Source organism: Homo sapiens, chromosome 13, assembly GCF_000001405.40.
Source record: "Homo sapiens chromosome 13, GRCh38.p14 Primary Assembly".
NCBI classification, from domain to species: Eukaryota; Metazoa; Chordata; class Mammalia; order Primates; family Hominidae; genus Homo; species Homo sapiens.
The window spans coordinates 45,349,287-45,370,277 of NC_000013.11; the positions used below are offsets into that span (position 1 = coordinate 45,349,287).

General features: G+C 47.5%; 1 long non-coding RNA gene across 1 annotated transcript in view, besides 1 other annotated feature; it reads left to right on the top strand.

The window, feature by feature from the left end:
- Positions 1-20,991, top strand: part of TPT1-AS1 (TPT1 antisense RNA 1) — a 50,139-nt gene that overhangs the window by 7,942 nt on the left and 21,206 nt on the right. Inside the window, exon 4 of the long non-coding RNA NR_024458.1 lies at positions 20,794-20,896. This is a non-coding gene — a long non-coding RNA (TPT1 antisense RNA 1). The remainder of the gene's footprint in view (positions 1-20,793; positions 20,897-20,991) is intronic.
- Positions 18,187-18,693: an enhancer, noted in NCBI's record as "H3K27ac hESC enhancer chr13:45941608-45942114 (GRCh37/hg19 assembly coordinates)". NCBI's record gives its function as "activates a minimal SCP1, AML or CMV promoter by ChIP-STARR-seq in naive H9 embryonic stem cells {active_cell/tissue: H9 hESC(naive)}" and the evidence as "EXISTENCE:reporter gene assay evidence [ECO:0000049][PMID:30033119]".

Below are 20,991 nucleotides of genomic sequence, written 5' to 3' on the forward strand. Positions count from 1 at the left end.
GGTGGAACAAAGGGCTCCTGCCTCACAGCTTGCTTGCTTGCTGTCTGTCTTTTCTTTCTTTCTTTCTTTCTTTCTTTCTTTCTTTCTTTCTTTCTTTCTTTCTTTCTTTCTTCTCTAATGAAGTCATAACTTAACAGCTTTCTGAGGTCTGGATTGATCCACAGGTAAAATTTTTTCATGATCTGTAATGGACAGAATATTCTTCCAGCAATCTGCCACAAGTATTGCTTCAGAACAAAGACTTGAAGGGCAGAGAACATTGGCACATACCCTCTAGGGAATCCCAAACCGTCCCCAAGATTTCTGCTGATGTTTATATTGTCATAATCACTGATGACATGTGGGAAGGAAGAGAGTGGATTACATCACAGCAATGGAACTTCAGATTAAACTCTGAGTGTCCCTGTGCTTAAAATATTATCACTCACCCACCATGACTTCCCGCAGTCCCCAACTCAGACCAGCTCACTGGCTCTTGTCTCTCTTTCCTCCTTAGCCCCACTCCCCATCAGTAGGAAAAAATAAGTGACAAATCCCTCTTGTTTTCCCATAAAGAGGCAGCATAAATATTCTTTTTTTCCTTCCTTAAAGGCCTCTCACTTTTATTACAGGTAACTTATTAAAATATTTTCCTGAAAGCAGTTCTTTCCCTAAAGGAGATTGTCTACTAGCGCCAGAGTGTTTGATAAAAATTGAGTAGTATTAGGCCAGGCTCTGTGGCTCACGCCTGTAATCCCAGCACTTCGGGAGGCCGAGGCAGGCGGATCACCTGAGATCAGGAGTTCGAGACCAGCCTGACCAACATGGAGAAACCTCGTCTCTACTAAAAATACAAAAATTAGCTGGGCGTGTTGGCACGTGCCTGTAATCCCAGCTACTCGGGAGGTTGAGGCAGGAGAATCGCTTGAACCCAAGAGGTGGAGGTTATGGTGAGCTGAGATCGTGCCATTGCATTCCAGTCTGGGCAACAAGAGTGAAACTCCATCTGAAAAAAAAAAAAAAAAAAGAAATTGAGTAGTATTAGCTTTTTATTAATTCATTCAGCAAATACATATGACGCAATCACGATGTATCAGGTTCACTCCTACTAGATGTACATGAACAAGGCCTTTCCCTGAAGGAAAAGTGGAATAGACATGAGATTAAGCATGCAAATTACAGCCTCTTCCTCAGAGAGCTGCCGATAGCAACTAACCCTGACAAAAGTCAATCACAATATCAGTTCCTTCCTCTACAGAGTGTTAAAAGTTTCTCGGCTGGGTGCGATGGCTCACGCCTGTAATCCTCTGTAATCCTGAGAAAGTGCCTGTAATCCTGGCACTTCAGGAGGCTGAGGCAGGTGGATCACTTGAGGTCAGGAGTTCGAGACCAGCCTGGCCAATATGGTGAAACCCTATCTTTACTAAAAATACAAAATTTAGCCGGTTGTGGTGGCGGGCACCTGTAATCCCAGCTACTTGGGAGGCTGAGGCAGGAGAATCGCTTGAACCTGGGAGGTGGAGGCTGCAGTGAGCCGAGATCATGCCACTGTACTGCAGCCTTGGCAACAGAGTAAGACTGTGTCTCAAAAAAATAAAAATAAAAAAAGAGTGTTAAAAGTTTCTGAAGAGAATAGTCAAAGCAAATTTTTAAACTTTAGAACTCCTTTAATAACTGTGTTTTCAGCAGTGACCTAAAATTGCTAATGCTTACCGATATGACCATCTTGGGGTCTCTGAGGGGCATTGTAATGGCGCCCTTATTCCTCACCAGGGTTCTGAAGCAATTAAGATATAAGAACAGGGAGGCAGCAGATGGAGACTAAAATGTCACCTTTACTACTGACAAAGGCTAGGTTGGAGGGCAGAGATTTTTTTTTTTTTTTTGGAAAAAAAAATTTTTTTTGAGACAGAATCTCACTATTTTGCCCAGGCTGGTCTTGAACTCCTGAGCTGAGGCAATCCTCCCGCCTCAGCCTCCGCAGTAGTTGGGATTACAGGTGTGAGCCACTGCACCTGGCAGAGGTCAGAGACTCTGTGAGCAAGTGACTTCCTAATACTTTATAAGACTTAAGCCTAAAATGAGACAGACAGGCCTCTAAACCTTACTAAGTAGAGGAGGGAGTGGTAGGCCAGCTCCTAATAGGAAAAAGGGAGAGAAAGAGGCTACACATGTCAGTTTGTCCTTCCAGATTCCCCATATAGGTGACAAGGGGAACAAGGCCATGGGCAAAGCAGATTCTCACAATGGAGTATGGTTGATTCCTTACAGGATCTCCTTTTGAAGTTAGAGAGAGTAGCTATACCTTAGGAAATCTGGCTGGACAATTAAGCTGGGTTTATTAAGAATATATGCAGGATGAAAGTGGAGTTAGCTGGTACCCATCCCTGGGCCTTATGGTTGTGGAGGAGTTCACTTAGGGTAACTATCCTGTATGTGCTGGCAGTGGTGGGGGAAATACTTTTGTTCTTGGGGCCCAATCTGTTCCAGGTGGCCATGAACCTGCTTGTGAGCCTGTGGTGAGGAAGATGAGAACGAGAAGGGGACAGCTCTTGGGACTGGACATTAGTGCTTTCAGGTCGATCTGTGATGCTTACCCCGGTTTTTGTTCTGTTTTCGTTTTTGGGACAGGGTCTTACTCTGTGACCCACGCTGGAGTGCAATGGCACCATCACGACTTACTGAAGCCTCCACTTCCCGGGCTCAAGTGATTCTCACACCTCAGCCTCCTGAGTAGCTGAGACCACAGGTGTGCACCACCACACCCCACTAAATTTTCTGTTTTTTTTGTCGAAATGGGGTTTTGCCATGTTGCCCAGGCTAGTCTCAAACTCCTGGGCGCAAAAGATCTGCCCGCCCACCTCGGGCCTCCCAAAGTGCTGGGATTACAGGCATGAACCATAACACCTGGTTTACTCAGAGAATAGCGAACGCTTCCTTGTGCCAGGGAAGGTGGAGCAGTCATGACTCAGGCTTCGGGAGCCTCAGGCTCGCAGCTACAGGCTTATACACACTCACATCAAATGCTAATGGGGCCCGAGTCAGAAAGAAATTAGCCAGACTAAGAAAAACAAGACTTTGGAAATATAAACGTTTGAATGAACATTTTAAGCATGGTATCTGCCTGCCACCTTGGTTCTCAAAGTGGTCTCCCAGACCTTTTCAGGGATCTATTACATCAAAACTATTTTCAGGGTTTTTTTTTTTTTTTTTGAGACTGAGTCTCGCTCTGTCGCCCAGGCTGGAGTACAGTGGCACGATCTCGGCTCACTACAAGCTCCGCCTCCTGGGTTCACGCCATTCTCCTGCCTCAGCCTCCCAAGTAGCTGGGACTACAGGCGCCTGCCACCACGCCCGGCTAATTTTTTGTATTTTTAGTAGAGACGGGGTTTCACTGTGTTAGTCAGGATGGTCTTGATCTCCTGACCTTGTCATCAGCCAGCCTCGGCCTCACAAAGTGCTGGGATTACAGGTGTGAGCCACCGCACCCGGCCTTGTTTGTTTTTTGAGACGGAGTTTCTCTCTTGTTGCCCAGACTGGTGTGCAACGGCGTGATCTCGGCTCACTGCAACCTCCACCTCCTGGGTTCAATTGATTCTCCGGCCTCAGCCTCATGAGTAGCTGGGATTACAGGCATGTGCCACCATACCCGGTTAATTTTGTTTTTTTTTTTTTTTTTTTTTTTTTTTGAGACGGAGTCTCGCTCTGTCACCTAGCCTGAACTGCAGTGGCGCGATCTCGGCTCACTGCAAGCTCCGCCTCCCGGGTTCACGCCATCCTCCTGTCTCAGCCTCCCGAGGAGCTGGGATACAGGTGCCCACCACCACGCGTGGCTAATTTTTTTTTTGTATTTTTAGTAGAGAAGGGGTTTCACCATGTTTGCCAGGATGGTCTCGATCTCCTGACCTCGTGATCCGCCCGCCTCGGTCTTTCAAAGGGCCAGGATTACAGGCGTGAGTCACCGCGCCTGGCTAATTTTGTATTTTTAGTAAAGACGGGGTTTCTCCATGTTGGTCAGGCTGGTCTCGAACTTCCGACCTCAAGTGATCCACCTGCCTCAGCCTCCCAAAGTGCTGGGATTACAGGCATAAGCCACCTCTCCTGGCCATTTTTTTTTTTTTTAAATAGAGACATGGTCTTAGTATATTGTCTGGGCTGGTCTCAAACTCCTGGGCTAAAGCAATCCTCCTGCCTCGGCCTCCCAGAGTTCTGGGATTACAGGCGTGAGCCACTGTTTTTAAGGCTGGGCACTGTGTGGCTCGTGCCTGATATCCCAGCACTTTGGGAGGCTGAGGAGGGAGGATCACTTAAGGCCAGGAGTTTGAGAACAAGACCAGCCTGGGAAACATAGTGAGACCCTCTCTCTACAAAAAAAATTTTGAAAATTAGCCAGGTGTGGAGGTACATATGTGTGGTTCCAGCTACTTGAGAGGCTGAGGTGGGAGGATTGCTTAAGCCTGGGAGGTTGAGGTTGCAGTGAGCCGTGTTCATGCTACTGTACTCCAGCCTGGGTGATAGAGTGAGACCCTGTCTCAAAAAAAAAAAAAAGTTTTTAAAAAGTGTAAAAGACTTCCAAGATGAAAAGTTGGAGAATTACTGGCCTACCGTAATACAAACCCCATGTCAGGATCTGGAAATATGCAAATAAATGAAAGGTTAAGGAATACACACTAGCCAGGTGCACACAAGCAGGGTATACCATTAGCTGATTCTTTTGAGCAATTAGTTTTTATTATATGGACCCAGTCTTATAACTGATCATGTTTCCCTTCTCTCTTTGACTGCTAGCAAGCTCAGAGCCAAATTTGGGCTTATTTCTGTTAACAGGATCTTACAGAATGCTTTTATGTTACAGCTTACTCCTGGTTATACCCAATTTCACTACTTTCATTTCCCCTTTGTCCTGATTTGTTTTGCTTTTGTTTTCTTTTTTTTGTTTTGAGACAGGGTCTCCCTCTGTCACCCAGGCTGGAGTTCAGTGGCGTGATCTGGGCTCACTGCAACTTCTACCTCCCAGGCTCAAGCAATACTCCTACCTCAGCCTCTCAAGTAGCTGAGACTATAGGCGTGCACCACCATGCCTGGCTAATTTTTTGTTTTTTTTTGTAGAGACAGGGTTTTGCCATGTTGCCCAGGCTGGTCTCCATCTCCTGAGCTGAAGCAATCTGCCAACCTCGGCCTCCCAATGTACTGGGATTACAGGTGTGAACCACATCACCGTCTCAATCACCGTCTCAATTTTTTGTTTTGTTTTGCTTTTTGTTTTTTTTTTTTTTTTTGAGATGGAGTCTCGCTCTGTCACCCAGACTGGAGTGCAGTGGCACAATCTCGGCTCACTGCCACCTTTGCCTCCTGGGTTCAAGTGATTCTCCTGCCTCAGCCTTCCAGATAGCTGGGATTATAGCTTTGCACCACAACACCTGGCTAATTTTTGTATTTTTAGTAGAAACGGGGTTTCACCACATTGGCCAGGCTGGCCTCATACTCCTGACCTCAAGTGATCCACCGGCCTCAACCTCCCAAAGTGCTGGGATTACAGGCATGAGCCACCATGCCCGGCCTCAATTTTTATACCGAGGATTTTCCTCGTATGTATTTTACTTGCTGTGCTATCAGGTATACCTCTGTAAACCACATACAATTCTGTTTGAAACAAGGCAGGACACAAAAAAGAAATACCTAGAGTGAGAACTCATGGAATTTCAAATCTTTTTTTTTTTTTTTTGAGATGGAGTCTCACTCTGTCGCCCAGGCTGGAGTGCAGTGGCACAATCTTGGCTCACTGCAACCTCCGCCTCCCGGCTTCGAGCAATTCTAGTACCTCAGCCTCCCGAGTAGCCAGGATTACAGGCACATGCCAGCACGCCTGGGTAATTTTTGTGTTTTTAGTAGAGATGGGGTTTCACCATGTTGGCCAGGTTGGTCTCGAACTCCTGGCCTCAGGTGATCCACCCTCCTCAGCCTCCCAAAGTGCTGGGATTACAGGCGTGAGCCTCTGCACCTGGTCCAAATCTTTTTTAAAATGCACTCTTAAAACTTGGGAATGTATAAAATACCATTCCTGCCTTTGATGAACTTAAAAATCTATTGTCATACGTGTAAATGGTTACCAGAAACAACAGAATATGATAGATCACAAAGGTAGTACAAGCAAAGTCCATAGGAAGGGTTGCACCTTCTCCCCAGAGGCAAAGTTAAAATGAATGGAGCTACCAGGATTTAGCGTTTCTTTTGTAGAACTCTAGGAATTCAGGGAAAGAGAGGCTCATTCCTGCCTTAATGGGAGGTTTCAGGGGAAGAGAGGCTCATTTCTGCCTTTATGGGGGGTTTCAAACTTCAGTAGAAAACACTGTAATTGGAAAATGGCTTGAAGACTAATTGAAAACATCAGCATATTACCAATTCTGAGATGCATGTTTTTCACATTTTAAGATTTCTCATCTTGGGATGCATCTTATGGTATGCCATGATTACTTGTCAGAATTTTTTTTCTAAGTGATACATAAAATAATCATGCTTCTTATGATTGATAATGTCTTAGATTAGATGAAGACCATTATTAGTTACTATTATTATTATTAATTTTGAGACGGAGTCCTGCTCTGTCGCCCAGGCTTGAGTGCAGTAGCACGATCTCGGCTCACTGCAACCTCCGCCTCCCGGGTTCAAAGGATTCTCTCACCTCAGCCTCCTGAATAGCTGAGATTACAGGCACACACCACCATGGCTGGCTACTTTTTTTGTATTTTTAGTAGAGACAGGGTTTCGCCTTGTTGGCCTGGCTGGTTTTGAACTCCCGACCTCAAGTGTTCCACCAGCCTCGGCCTCCCTAAGTGCTGGGATTACAGGTGTGAGCCACCGCGCCCGGCCTTATTATGATTATTGTTATTATTTTGAGACAGAGTCTCACTCTGTCGCCCAGGCTGGAGTGCAGTGGCGCGATCTCAGCTCACTGCAACCTCCACCTCCCGGGTTCAAGCGATTTTTCTGCCTCAGTCTCCTGAGTAGCTGGGATTACAGGCGTGCGCCACCACACCTGGCTAATTTTTGTATTTTTAGTAGAGATGGGGTTTCACCATGTTGGTCAGGCTGGTCTTGAACTCCTGACCTGGTGATCCACCCGCCTCGGCCTCCCAAAGTGCTGGGATTACAGGCGTGAGCCACCGTGCCCAGCCTAGTTAGCATTTTAACATGCCATATGTCTACCACAGTGGTTCTCATGGTGTGGTCTTTGAGATGTCTGTAGCATTGTACAGCAGAATGTGGCCTACTGCAGATGAATGCTGTGTGGCTAACAAGTTGCTAGAAGACCATCACCTATTGAATGGAGAGAGGTGGGGACAGACTAATGGAAAGCAATGAAGGTCTCAGCTTCCAGTTCTGGGTTTTCATCCTCCTCTTGCCTCAACCTCAAAGACTCTTCCCAGCTCAAGAACTGGGGGCCACCCTTGATAAAGCTTTATCTGGCCCCTGATGTATTCTCATCTCCCCAGCTACCTTGGCCTAGATCTGCAGAAATCCCTTTCCTTTTCTTTCTGTAAAGCAAAAGCTGAAAATTTTCAAAAATAACATGACCAGAGAACAAAAGAAAATCAAGTACAGAGAAAACACTGTAGCATGAAAACAAACGTATGGATTTTGCATGAATTTCAAAACAGATTTTACAACTTTCTCATCCTAATGGATGTAAGGTATAGCTACAGGTTTGGCTAATGGAAATTTCAGGGCACCTGCTCTTTCCCCTTAAAGCTATCAGGGTGGAGTGCCAAGCTCACTCTTGACCATGTGGATTTGGGTGGGCATGGAGAGAGGCATGCTGGGAGATTCAGGCCCTCCCCAAATCACCTTCCATGTGCAGTCTGCCAAGGCCACGTTGCTGACTGGGGTCAAGACAGCCTACAGCTGCCTTGTTCCTGAGGCCATGGCCGGATAAGGAAGCCAGCTTCCAGTCCAGCCCTTCCGATTCCTCGCCACACTTCAAGCTTATGGCTCTGATTGCCACTTCTTCCTGGAAGGCTCAGATATAACTTCTGAAAGTCGTGTTTTCACCAGGACCTCTTTTCCTGTGTCTCCTTCACTTGCTCAAAGGAAGCAGATGTCCTGTGGTTTCTCCCTGTAAGCAAAGATTAGTTTCTTCACCAGTTCTGGTCAACTAGAACCTGGCCCTTACCTTCCCGGTAGTCATGGAGCCTGTGGTTTGGCTGGCTCCGCACAGGGTTAACAAATGCCTCTTGGGGAAGACAGTGTGGTCTGGTGGAAAGAACCACCACTTACTAGCTACATGACTACTAAGCCTGCAAGCCTCTGTTTCCTCACCTGTAGAATGGGGTGTGACTTTCACAGTAGTTGTGAGGAGTGACTGAAGTCAAGCATATAAAAGCAACAAGAAGGGACAGGTGTGGTGGCTCACGCCTGTAATCCCAGTACTTTGAGAGGCTGAGGCAGGCAGATCACCTGAGGTCAGGAGTTCGAGACCAGCCTGGCCAACATAGTGAAACCCTGTCTCTACTAAAAATACAAAAATTAGGCGTGGTGGTGTGGGTCTGTAATCCCAGCTACTAGGGAGGCTGAGGCAGGAGAATTGCTTGAACCCGGGAGGCGGAGGTTGCAGTGAGCCGAGATCACACCACTGCACTCCAGCCTGGGCGACAAAGTGAGACTCTGTCTCAAAAAGAAAAACAGACAATTTTTTATAGCAATGGGACATCATCTCACAAGGCATTTGTTTCACTAAGAGAGGAATTTTGAGACACATGGTATTTCCAAAGCACTTTCTGGCCAAGGAGCTCAAATGACCGTACGGATATTCTTAAGGAATGAGAATTACCACTTCCTTTCCTGGCAGCTTTCTTTTTTTTATTATTTTTTTTTGAGACGGAGTCTCGCTCTGTTGCCCAGGCTGGAGTGCAGTGGCGTGACCTCGGCTCACTGCAACCTCTGCCTCCCAGGTTCAAGCAGTTCTCCTGCCCCAGCCTCCTGAGTAGCTGGGATTACAGGCACACTTTTCGCTGGGTGCGGCGGCTCACGCCTGTAATCTCAGCACTTTGGGTGGCTGAGGTGGATGGATCATTTGAACCCAGGAGTTCGAGATCAGCCTGGGCAACATGGCAAGACCCCATCTCCACAATAAATATAAAAATTAACGAAGCATGGTGGCACACACCTGTAGTCCAAGCTACTCGGGAGGCTGAGGTGGGAGGATCACTTGAGCCTGAGAGGTGGAGGTTGCAGTGAGCCGAGACTGTACCACTGCACTCTAGCCCGGGCAACAGAGTGAGACCCTGTCACACAAACAAAACAAAACAAAACAAAACAAACAAAAAAACAAAAAACGACTCCACCCCTGCCTGTTGCCCTCTTCCCAGAATATATGGGACTTCACACCACACACACACACACACACACACACACACCAGTTTGGCCACTCATCAAGGAATACATCAAACAAACACTTTTACAGCTGATTGCTTTACAGGATCATAATTTTAATTTCTCAGAGATCTCATTTAGTTTTCTCTACCAGTGATACCTATGACAGTTTCTATTATCAGAATGTCCTGACTTTAAGCATCAGGGCCCTAACTCAAGTCACCAGAGGCAGCTTGAAGAGGACCTCTGCCTTGGCATGCTGTATGAATGTTTGTGTCCTTAGGGCTGGCCGAGCAGGGCTCAACCTGGGCACTTTAAAAACATGGTATCTGGCCTGAATTCATGGCCAAGGATATTTGTAAAATGATGTGCTTCTCATTGGGAATAGAAGGCACATTAAGGTTGGAGGCAGAGGAGAATGGAAAGCACAGTTCCTATGTTAGCTCAGACAGGAAATGATGGACATTCAATTCCATAAGCCCAGCGTGTGACAGCATTCTGAAATAGATTGCCTTCAAGTTTCTTTTTTTTTTTTTTTTTTTTTTTGAGACTGAGTCTCGCTCTGTCGCCCAGGCTGGAGTACAGTGGCACGATCTCGGCTCACTACAAGCTCCGCCTCCTGGGTTCACGCCACTTTCCTGCCTCAGCCTCCCGAGTAGCTGGGACTACAGGCGCCCGCCACCACGCCCAGCTAATTTTTTGTATTTTTTTTAGTAGAGACGGGGTTTCACCATGTTGTCCAGGATGGTCTCGATCTCCTGACCTCGTGATCCGCCCGCCTCGGCCTCCCAAAGTGCTGGGATTACAGGCGTGAGCCACCGCGCCCGGCCCAAGTTTCTTGATTTTATCTGGATCTTACACCACTTTGAGAATCTGATAAAATATATTGACCTTTTCCTCAGAAAAATGCATATATCCACAAAATTTTGCATATGATATTAAGTGTTTATGAACCTGGCCTGGCTAACTTTGTATTTTTAGTAGAGACGGGGTTTCAACATGTGGGCCAGGCTGGTCTCAAACTCCTGACCTCAGGTGATCCACCTGCCTCGGCCTCCCAAAGTGCTGGGATTACAGGCATGAGACACTGTGCCCAGCCAAGATTCAGTTCTTAGAATGAACCAAAGTGCTCTTTGTCCTGTTTGCTGTCTTGGCATTTCCACTGATGTTAAATCTCAAGAGGTGAAATCTGCACACAAATACTCACTGTCACTCAGGAGGACGCAGCTCAGGAGGTAAGGTGGACATCACTGAGTTGGTACAGGTCTTACATGCAAGACAGAAGCCGTGTTCTGGAGATTTGCTGCTCTTCTTTGGTGTTAAGCCTCTTGCTTTATTAAACAACTAAGTCATGATGAACCATTGGAAGGAGCTGCGCTGTTTCCAGTTTGTCTGGAGGACATATTAAAAGACTAGTTTCTGGAATACATTTGTGTAACTTAATTTTGTTGATGTTTTCTTATTTGATGTCTAGTAATACTTTTTTTTTTTTTTTTTTTTTTTGAGATGGAGTTTTGCTCTTGTTGCCCAGGCTGGAGTGCAATGGCAAGATCTCAGCTCACCACAACCTCTGCCTTCTTTTTTCTTCTGTTTTTAAAACTTGTGGTAAAATCTAGATAACAAAAAGTTTGCCATTTTAACCATTTTTAAGTGGACAGTTCAGTGGCATTAGTTACATTCCCAATGTTGTGTAACCACCACTATTATCCATTTCCAGAAGGTTTTCATCACCCGAAACAGAAACTCTGTACCCATTAAATAGTAACTCCCCATTCTACCCTTCTCTCCCTCCATAACCTCTGTTTTACCTTCTGCATCCATCAAGTTGCCTGTTATAGATAATTCACATAGAATCATTCAGTATTTGTTTCTTTTTGTATCACGTATCAAAATTTCCTTTTTTTTTTTTTGCTTTTGAGACAGTCTTGCTTTGTCGCCCAGGCTGGAGTGCAGGTGCACAACCATGGCTCACTGCAGCCCTCACCTCTCCTGCTCGAGAGTTCCTCCCACCTCAGCCATCTGAGTAGCTGGGACTACATGTGTGCGCCACCATACCCAACTAATTTTTTGGTTTTTTTTGTACATACGGGGTTTTGCCATGTGGCCCAGGGTGGTCTCGAACTCCTGGGCTGAAGTGATCCACCCACCTTGGTCTCCCAAAGTGTTGGGATTACAAGCATGAGCCACTGCGCTGGAATGCAATGACACGATCTCAGCTCACTGCAACCTCTGCCTCTCGGGTTCAAGTGATTCTCCTGCCTCAGCCTCCCAAGTAGCTGGGAGTAGAGCCATGCGCCACCACGCCCGGCTAATTTTTGTATTTTTAGTAGAGACGGGGTTTCGCCATGTTGGTCAGGCTGATCTCGATCTCCTGACCTCAGGTGATCACCTGCCTCAGCCTCCCAAAGTCCTGGGATTACAGACGTGAGCCACTGCGCCTGGCCTATGCTTTAAAATAAAAATAGAGATTGGGTGTCTGGCTATTATGTTGCCCAGGCTGGTCTTGAACTCCTGGCCTCATCCTTCCCCCTCCACCTCCCAAAGCACGGGGATTATAGGTGTGAGCCACCACATCTTATCCTTCTGGTGCATTTTGAAGGTAGAGACCCTAAGTCAGATTTGCTGATGAATCAATGTGGGGGACGTGGCACAGTTAACCACTCCCTCCCCTCCCCTCCCCATCCCCGTCCCCTCTGTCGTCCCCTCCCCCTCCCCTCACCCCTTCCCTCTCCTTTTTTTTTTTTTTTTTTTTTTTTTTTTTTGAGAGGGAGTTTCGCTCTTGTCCCCCAGGCTGGAGTGCAATGGCGTAATCTTGGCTCATCGCAACCTTCGCCTCCTGGGTTCATGCAGTTCTCCTGTCTCAGCCTCCAGAGTAGGTGGGATTACAGGTGCACACCACCATGCCTAGCTAATTTTTATATTTTTAGTAGAGATGAGGTTTTGCCATGTTGGTCAGGCTAGTCTCAAACTCCTGGCCTCAAGCGATCTGCTGGCCTTGGCCTCCCAAAGTGTAAGGATTACAGGCATGAGCACCGCCCCAGCCCACACCCTTTTGCTTGAGGCACTTTTTTCTTCTTTTTTTTTGAGGCGGAGTCTTGCTCTTTCGCCCAGGCTGGAGTGCAGTGGCGCTATCTCGAGCCCCGCCTCCCGGGTTCACGACATTCTCCTGCCTCAGCCTCCTGAGTATCTGGGACTACCGGCGTCTGCCACCACGCCCAGCTAATTTTTTTTTTGCATTTTTACTAGAGACGGGTTTTCACTGTGTTAGCCAGGATGGACACTTTCTTCTTCCTTTGGAAATACATCCTCTGGTTTCCCTCCTCCCTCGCTGGCCTCTCCTCTCAGACTCTTCTGCCTGCTCTACTCCAGGTGCATTGAAATGCCCCAGACCTCTGTGTGGGGAGTCTTCTATGCCACACCCTTCCTAGATGACATCATCTGGCCCTAAGTTTTCAGTATGAGTCAATGTGTTGGTGATGCCCAGATTCCCACCTCCAGCCCTGATTTCTTCCAAGTGCTCTAGAGTCATATACTTATTTGCCTGCTTGATGTCCCTTCTTGGATGTCAAACAGTCATCTCAAAATTCAACTCTTGATCCTCTCCCCTGCTCCAAACTTCGCCATCTCAGTAAATGCGTTATATTCCTCCTGGTTGCATAGGCTTCAAACCTAGGAGTCATCCTTGAATAGACCCTCTTTCTTGCCTCCGCGTTTGAGCTTTCAGCAAGTCCTGTCATTCAGACCATTCACACGTATTGAAAATCCATCCCTTTCTTGCCGTCTTGACTGAACGTTCTGATGAAGTCGTCACCACTGCTCCCTGGACCTCTGTCCTCACTAACAGCGCTTCCTGTTTCCATTCCTGCTGCTCCAGAGTCCATCCATCTCCTCCCTTTTCAGAGAGGCTTCTCTGACCACCCTTTGCAATGGCTGCTCCATGGCCCCTGCTAGAACAGGCTGTCATGCTCTTGTGGGTCTGCTTGTATATTTATCTCTTTTCTGCCTCCACTAGAAGGTGAGCTCTGACAGGGCAGAGGTTCTGGCTGCCTGGTTCCGTGCTGCATTTTCAGAGTCTAGAATAGTGCCTAGCACATGGTACGTGATGAGGAAATCTCTTTCCTGATGAATGAGCGAAGCAGAGAATCCTCAGAATCCGAGGATGCTCTCTCTCTGTCTTGGGAGCTAGAGGAACTCTTCATTTTTCCCTTCATGAATCTGCTCCACTGTCCTTTCTGTTTATTGGCTTCCTCAGTGTTTGGTTTGCCATGGCGCCATCTTGGTCCCATTTCTCATGCTCTGCTCAGCTCAAAGCAGTCCACGGGTTCAACTCTCAGTGCCCCAGGAAGGGGAAACCCACTTCACTTGGGTCAAGTGTTCATTTTCCATCCTCCCTGTCTCCACCCCAATCAGCAAAGGCTAGTGGCTGGTGGTAAAAGGAAGGCTAGTGGCTGGGGGTAAAAGGCCACCAGCAGAGGGGGCTCTCCAGAGGCAGGCCCATCCCCAGCTCCTCCCGAGTAAGTGCCAATCACCCAGAGGTGGATCCTCTTTCAGGGCCCTGACTTGCAAAGCTGAGGACCAGCTTCCTGTCAGTGGTAACCCTCAGTGAGGGCCTTGTCTGAGCAGCCAGCAGCCTCTGAGACATTTCCACATGGGCACTGGCTAACTTAAAAAAGATAAGTATTCACCCTTCCCAGGAGGTACTGATGTCAGGAATAGCCAAGAGTGCAGTCTTGGTCTGTAAGGAGGTGGCCCTTCCACTCCATACGGCCCTTCCCAGGATACTGCTGTATCCTGGGGTCTGCTCGTGGTGCCAGCAAGCAGGCGTTCCTTGGGAGCCCCCCTCAGCCCTCCCACCCACTGCTGTCCTCTCTCCCTGCCCCCATCTGTGTAAGGACCCTCTGATATATGTTCACTTAGTAAGCTGTGTGTGTGTAGTGGGGTGTCTTTGTCAATGATCTGCTCCTTTTCTCTGAAAACTTTAAGGACTTTGATATTTTTGGATTCACAATAGTATGTGTAGATGTCAGATTTTCCTCATCTCTCTCCTGTGGCCTCTGTGGGTTCTCTCAGTCTGAGGTCTTTCATCTCTCTTTAATTCTGGGAAATTAATCTCCATTCTGTCTTCAAATATCACCTCCCTTCCATATTTTCCCCTTCCTTCTGCAACTCCTATTACCTGGATATTAACATTTCTGTTTCTGTCCTCCATGATTCTAACTTTTTAAGTTATTTTCCTTGTTTTTTTTTTATCCTTTCTTTCCTATCAGAATTTCTCAAGTTGATCTTTCATTTTCACTAATTCTTTTCTTGACCGTGTCAATTTATTCCATTAATTCTGTTCTGTATGTCAATATTATATTTTTTACCCTGATCTTTCCACTTGGCTCTTCTGTATGGTTTGTTGTTTTTGTGACATGGTCATGGCGGTGTGGGTTGTGGTGGGAGGGGGTTACCCCCGATATAGTCTGGATATTTGTCTGCGCCTAAATCTCCTGTCAGAATGTAATAGTGGGTGCTAGAGGTGGGGCCTGGTGGGAGGTGTTTGGACCAGGGGGGCAGTGTTAGTGCCCCGCATATGCTCTCTTTGCGAAAATAAGCAAGTTATTAAAAAATCTGGTCATGTAAAAGTATGTGACACCTCTCCCCCTCCCTGCTCCTGCTTTCTCCATGTGAAATGCCTGCTCCCACTTCGCCTTCTGCCATGATTGAAAGATCCTTGAGTCTTCATCAGAAGCTGAGCAGATGCCAGCACCATGCTTCCTGTACAGCCTGTAGAACCATGAGCCAATTAAATCTCTTTTCTTTATAAATTACCCAGTCTCAGGTTTTTTTTTTTTTTTTTTGAGATGGAGTTTCACTCTTGTTTCCCAGGCTGGAGTGCAATGGCGTGATCTTGGCTCACTGCAACCTCTGCCTCCCGGGTTCAAGTAATTCTCTTGCCTCAGCCTCCCGAGTAGTTGGGATTACAGGCGTACACCACCACACCTGGGTAATTACGTATTTTCAGTAGAGACGGGTTTCTCCATGTTGGTCAGGCTGGTCTCGAACTCCTGACCTCGGGTGATCCGCCTGCCTCGGCGTCCCAAAGTACTGGGATTACAGGTATGAGCCACCGTGCCCAGCCGGTTTTTTTTTTTTTTTTTGTATAGCAATGGAAGAATGGCCTCGTACACACGCTAGAGTGGAAAGTCCCAGGCACCAAGGCTTCCCACCCTAGAAGCAAGCTCAGGGCTTTCTCTTCATCCTTCCAGGGAGAGCACTGAGAGATGATGGGGGGTTGGCAGGGGGCATCCCTTGGATTATCATTCTCCAGACTTAGGCTTGGAGGGGAGGGTGGAGAAGTGGATTTCTGGGTCTGGTCCACCTCACCTGTTTTCTCAGCTTCTCACCCACTCAGAGCTCTTGCCCCAATTCTCCCTTTCATCCTGCAGATCCCTGCGCCTGACTCATCTCAGGCGAGGAGGCAAATCATCAGTTATCTCAGGCAGCAGCAGGACGAGACTCCTTTCTGATTTTCTCCTTCCCTGGCCACCTCTCCCCACCCCATATTCACTCATTCCAAACCTCTGGCCTCCCCAGCAACTCTACATCCTCATCTCCATCTGTTCCCTCTCTCGATGCTGTGGGTGACGTTGGAGAGGGAAGCCCGGAGCCCTGACCTAGTCCGGCGTGGAGAGAGGAATGGAAAGCAGTGTCCCTTTTGAGAAGGCAAATTTACAGCTGGCTTTTGTAATCCTAGCTATTTTTTGTTTGTTTGCTAAGTCTTTGATAGTCCCCAGTGTGGTTTGTCTGCCAGTGATCTCAGCACCACCAGAGAGCTTGTTAGAAATGCGGCATCCCAACCCCACCACAGCCCTCCCAAGTCAGATACTGCCACCTCACGAGGCCCCCCAGGGATCCACAAGTTCATTAAAGTTTCAGGAATCCAATTCTACTACAAAATATACATTTATAATTAGGAAAAGGATAGTTTCTTTTAAATGGTAGAACTTCCCCAATGAGTCAGCTACCTGTATTTCTGGCCTGTCAGGCTAGACACTGGAGACCATTCTGCATAGAATTGTACCTCCCTGAACTACTGTTAGGCCTTAGGGTGGGGATTCATCTTTCCCTTCTCCCCACCATGGAGACAAAATCCTCTTAAACATATCCGGGCCTGGCATGGTGGCTCACGCCTGTAATCCCAACACTATGGGAGTCCGAGGAGGGTGGATTACCTGAGGTCGGGAGTTTGAGACCAGCCTGACCAACATGGAGAAACCCCGTCTCTACTAAAAATACAAAATTAGCCGGGCATGGTGGCACATGCCTGTAATCCCAGCTACTCGGGAGGCTGAGGCGGGAGAATTGCTTGAACCTGGGAGGCAGAGGTTGCAGTGAGCCAAGATCACGCCATTGCACTCCAGCCTTGGCAACAAGAGCAAAACTCCATCTCAAAAAACAAAAACAAAAACAAAAAATAAAACATATCCAGCAGTAGGCCAGACACGGTGGCTCACCCCTGTAATCCCAGCACTTTGGGAGGCTGAGGCAGGTGGATCACTGGAGGTCAGGAGTTTGAGACCAGCCTGGCCAACATGGTGAAACCCCATCCTTTACTAAAAATACAAAAATTAGCTGGGTGTGGGGGCATGTGCCTGTAATTCCAGCTACTCAGGAGGCTAAGGTAGAAGAATCGCTTGAACCCAGGAGGCGGAGGTTGCAGTGAGCCGAGATCGTGCCACTGCACTCCAGCCTGGGCTACAGAGTGAGACTCCATCTCAAAAAACAAACATGGTGGCTCACGCCTGTAATCCCAGCACTTTGGGAGGCCGAAGCAGGTGGATCACCTGAGGTCAGGAGTTCGAGACCAGCCTGGCCAAGATGGTGAAACCCTGTCTCTACTAAAAATACAAAAATTAGCCAGGCATGGTGGTGGGCGCCTGTAGTACCAGCTACTTGGGAGGCTGAAGCAGGAGAATCGCTTGAACCCAGGAGGTGGAGGTTGCAGTGAGCCAAGATCATGCCACTGCACTCCAGCCTGGGCGACAGAGCGAGACTCTGTCTCAAACAGGCCAGGCGTGGTGGCTCATGCCTGTAATACCAGCACTTTGGTAGGCCAGGAGTTCAAGATGAGCCTGGCCAACATGGTGAAACCCCGTCTATACTAAAAATACAAAAAGACTGGCGTGGTGGTGGGCGCCTGTAATCACAGCTACTTGGGAGGCTGAGGCAGGAGAATCGCTCGAACCCAGGAGGCGAAGGTTGCGGTGAGCCAACATTGCACCACTGCACTCCAGCCTGGGCGACACAGCAAGACTCTGCCTCAAAATAAATAAACAAACAAACAAAAATATCTGGCAGCAATTTTCAAGCATTCAAAAGAGATGTGAAGGAAAAAAATTTGGCCGGGAGCAGTGGCTCACGCCTGTAATCCCAGCACTCTGGGAGGCCAAGGTGTGCGGATCACGAGGTCAAGAGTTCGAGACCAGCCTGACCAACATGGTCAAACCTGGTCTCTACTAAAAATACAAAAATTAGCTGGGCATGGTGGCACGTGCCTGTAATCCCAGCTACTCAGGAGTCTGAGGCAGGAGAATCGCTTGAACCTGGGAGGCAGAGGTTTCAGGGAGCCGAGATCACACCACTGCACTCCAGCCTGGGCAACAGAGGGAGACTGTCTCAAAAAAAAAAAAAAATAAATAAATCAGCATAGTAATTGATGAGGACAAGGACATTTTATTATCATGGGATTATGGGGACAAATGATTGCTGAAATCATAATTAGCTTTCTGGCGGGGGAAGATAGTAAGGTAGAAAGAGGAGAAATGGGTGTAATCAAAGGAAGTGGCAGAGAGAGATTAAAAAAAAAAAACAGGAAATGAGAACAAGAATATGACTAACAATGCCTGAGCCCCACCCACCCATCCTCAGAGTGGACTCCCTCTCTCAAAGGCTTGTGGGCACCTGCCCCCGAGCTGACTCACCCTGTTCAGTCATCACAGCTCACTGCAGTGATGAAGGCTCAGGTGATCCTTTCACATCAGCCTCTCCAGTAGCTGGGACTAAAGGCATGTGCCACCATACCTGGCTAATTTTTTGTTTTTGTTTTTGTTTTGAGATGGAGTCTTGCTCTGTCACCCAGGCTGCAGTGCAGTGGCATGATCTAGGCTCACTGCAACCTCCACCACCTGGATTCAAGCAATTCTCTGCCTCAGCTTCCTGAGTAGCTGGGACTACAGGTGCCTGCCATGACGCCCAGCTAATTTTTTTGTGTATTTAGTAGAGATGGGGTTTCACCATGTTAGCCAGGATGGTCTCGATCTCCTGATCTCGTGATCCACCTGCCTCAGCCTCCCAAAGTACTGGGATTACAGGTGTGAGCCACCGTGCCCGGCCGTATTTTTTGTATTTTTAGTAGAGACAGGGTTTCACTATCTTGGCTAGGCTGGTCTTGAACTCCTGACCTCAAGTGATCCACCCACCTCGGCCTCCCAAAGTTCTGGGATTACAGGCATGAGCCACTGTGCCCAGCCACCCGTCACCTGCTAGTGTAGACAAATGAATAAACTTAGACAAGCACATGGGCTCCCTCTATACCAGCCTAGACTTTGACACTGAAACTCCATGAGTCTGGGCCACTTCCTGCCACAAGTGTGAATGGAAAATAAATCATTTTCCAAGGAACCCAAAATCACTAAGCCAAGGAGTCAAGCTGAGAACTTTCAGGCAAACCTGCCCCCCATTTTATTTCCTAAATAAGAGAGCTACAAAGATTAAAAAAAAAAAAAAGCTACACACCTTGCTCATAATTTGCCCACAAGGAAATACCTAATTCCACAAGGAAGGGCTAATCAGAAACTCAACAGAATGCAACTGTTTGTCTCTTATCCACCTGTGACCTGGAAGCCCCGTCCCTCACCTCGAGTTGTCTCGCCTTCCTGGACCAAACCAATGTACATCTTACACATATTGATTGATGTCTCATGTCTCCCTAAAATGTATAAAACCAAGCTGTGCCCTGACCACCTTGGACACATGTGGTCAGGACTTCCTGAGGCTGTGTCACGGGCGTGTGTCCTCAACCTTGGCAAAATAAACTTTCTAAATTGGTTGAGACCTGTCTCGGATACTTTGGGTTCACATAAGGAAACAGGAAGCAGGGATCTGGTGTCTATTTCTTTTTCCAAGCACAATGTAAGCACAGTTCTAGGCTGTGTTTGTCTTGTGAGTCCTTCCTGGCTCCCCTCAGGCACTGGCTTTCTCTCCTCTCTCCTGCCTTCTCTTTCTGGATCCACCCTCCAAATGTTGGAGTTCCTTAGGGTTTGATTCTTGGAACTCTTCTGTGTTTATGTGTTCTCCCTAGATAGCATCATCCGTAAGTGACTTAAATAGCACTCATAATGCTTAAAAAAAAAAATTTCCATTTCTAGCCTGGACGTCTCTGAATTTCAGAATAAGGTAAATGAAGAATTCACCTTTATACACCTTAAGTTTGAAATGCCGGTGATTTATCCAACAGCCTCCTTGGTTTTGGTTTTAGCCGTATCACCGGCATCTCATTTAACTCAACGTATGCACATCTGAATTCTACTGACTCTCCTAAACTTGCACTCTGCTCCATCTCAGCCAATGGTACCACCCAGTTTCCTGAGCTAAGTGCCTTCTTTGACACCTTCCTTTCCAACACCACCTCACCTGATCTGTCACCAGTCCTGTCACTTGTTTTAAATCCTTGCACTGTCTCCCACCTCTGCACCTCTCCTCCTTGTCTCAGCCTGCTGTCTCACCCTTCTACTCTTCCTCCCTAAAGTCTGTAATCATCTAGCACCATCTTGTTAAAACATAAAAGATCATGCAGAGTCCCACTTAAAAGCTTACAAATATCTCATTGTACTTAAAATAAAGCTCAAATTCAGCAATGCCTAGAAGGCAGTGAGGAGTGGATAGGTATGAGAATGGCTGCTGATGTGGATTGCCTGGGTTTAAATCTTTTTCTTCCTTTTTTTTCCCCGCCATGACAGGATCTCACTCTGAGCGATACTCAGGCTGGAGTGCAGTGGCCCAATCATGGCTCACTCTAGCCTCTGCCTCCCAGTCTCAAGCAATCCTCCCACCTCAGCCTCCCAAGTAGGTGGGACTACAGGTGACACCACCATACTCGGCTAATTTTTGTACTGTTTGTAGAGACGGGGTTTTGCCATGTTGCCCAGGCTGGTCTCCAGCTCCTAAACTCAAGTGACCTACCTGCCTTGGCCTCCCAAAGTGCTGGGATTACAGGCGTGAGACACCGCGCCCGGCCCAGGTGCTTATTGTTAACTCCTGCTTCCTTAACCTCACCACAGTTTACACCCCGCCACTCCTGAGCACCGCACACCGGCTTCCTCCCAGTCCCTCATCTGAGAACTCATGAAGCCACTTGGAATCCCTCTCTGCTTTGCCTGGCTCATTCCATGTCAATTTCAGATCTTCACTTCAGGTCAGCTCCAAGGAGGCTATCCTTGCCCATCTTCCTAAAATAGAGCTCTCAAAACCTGGCTGTTTTCCTTCAGAGCACTGGCCTCCAATTGTAAGTAGATATTTATCTGTTTACTACGTGTCTCCATCACTAGGCGATACACTTCAGGAGGGGAGAATTTTTTGTTTTGGTTCTCTGCCATAAGA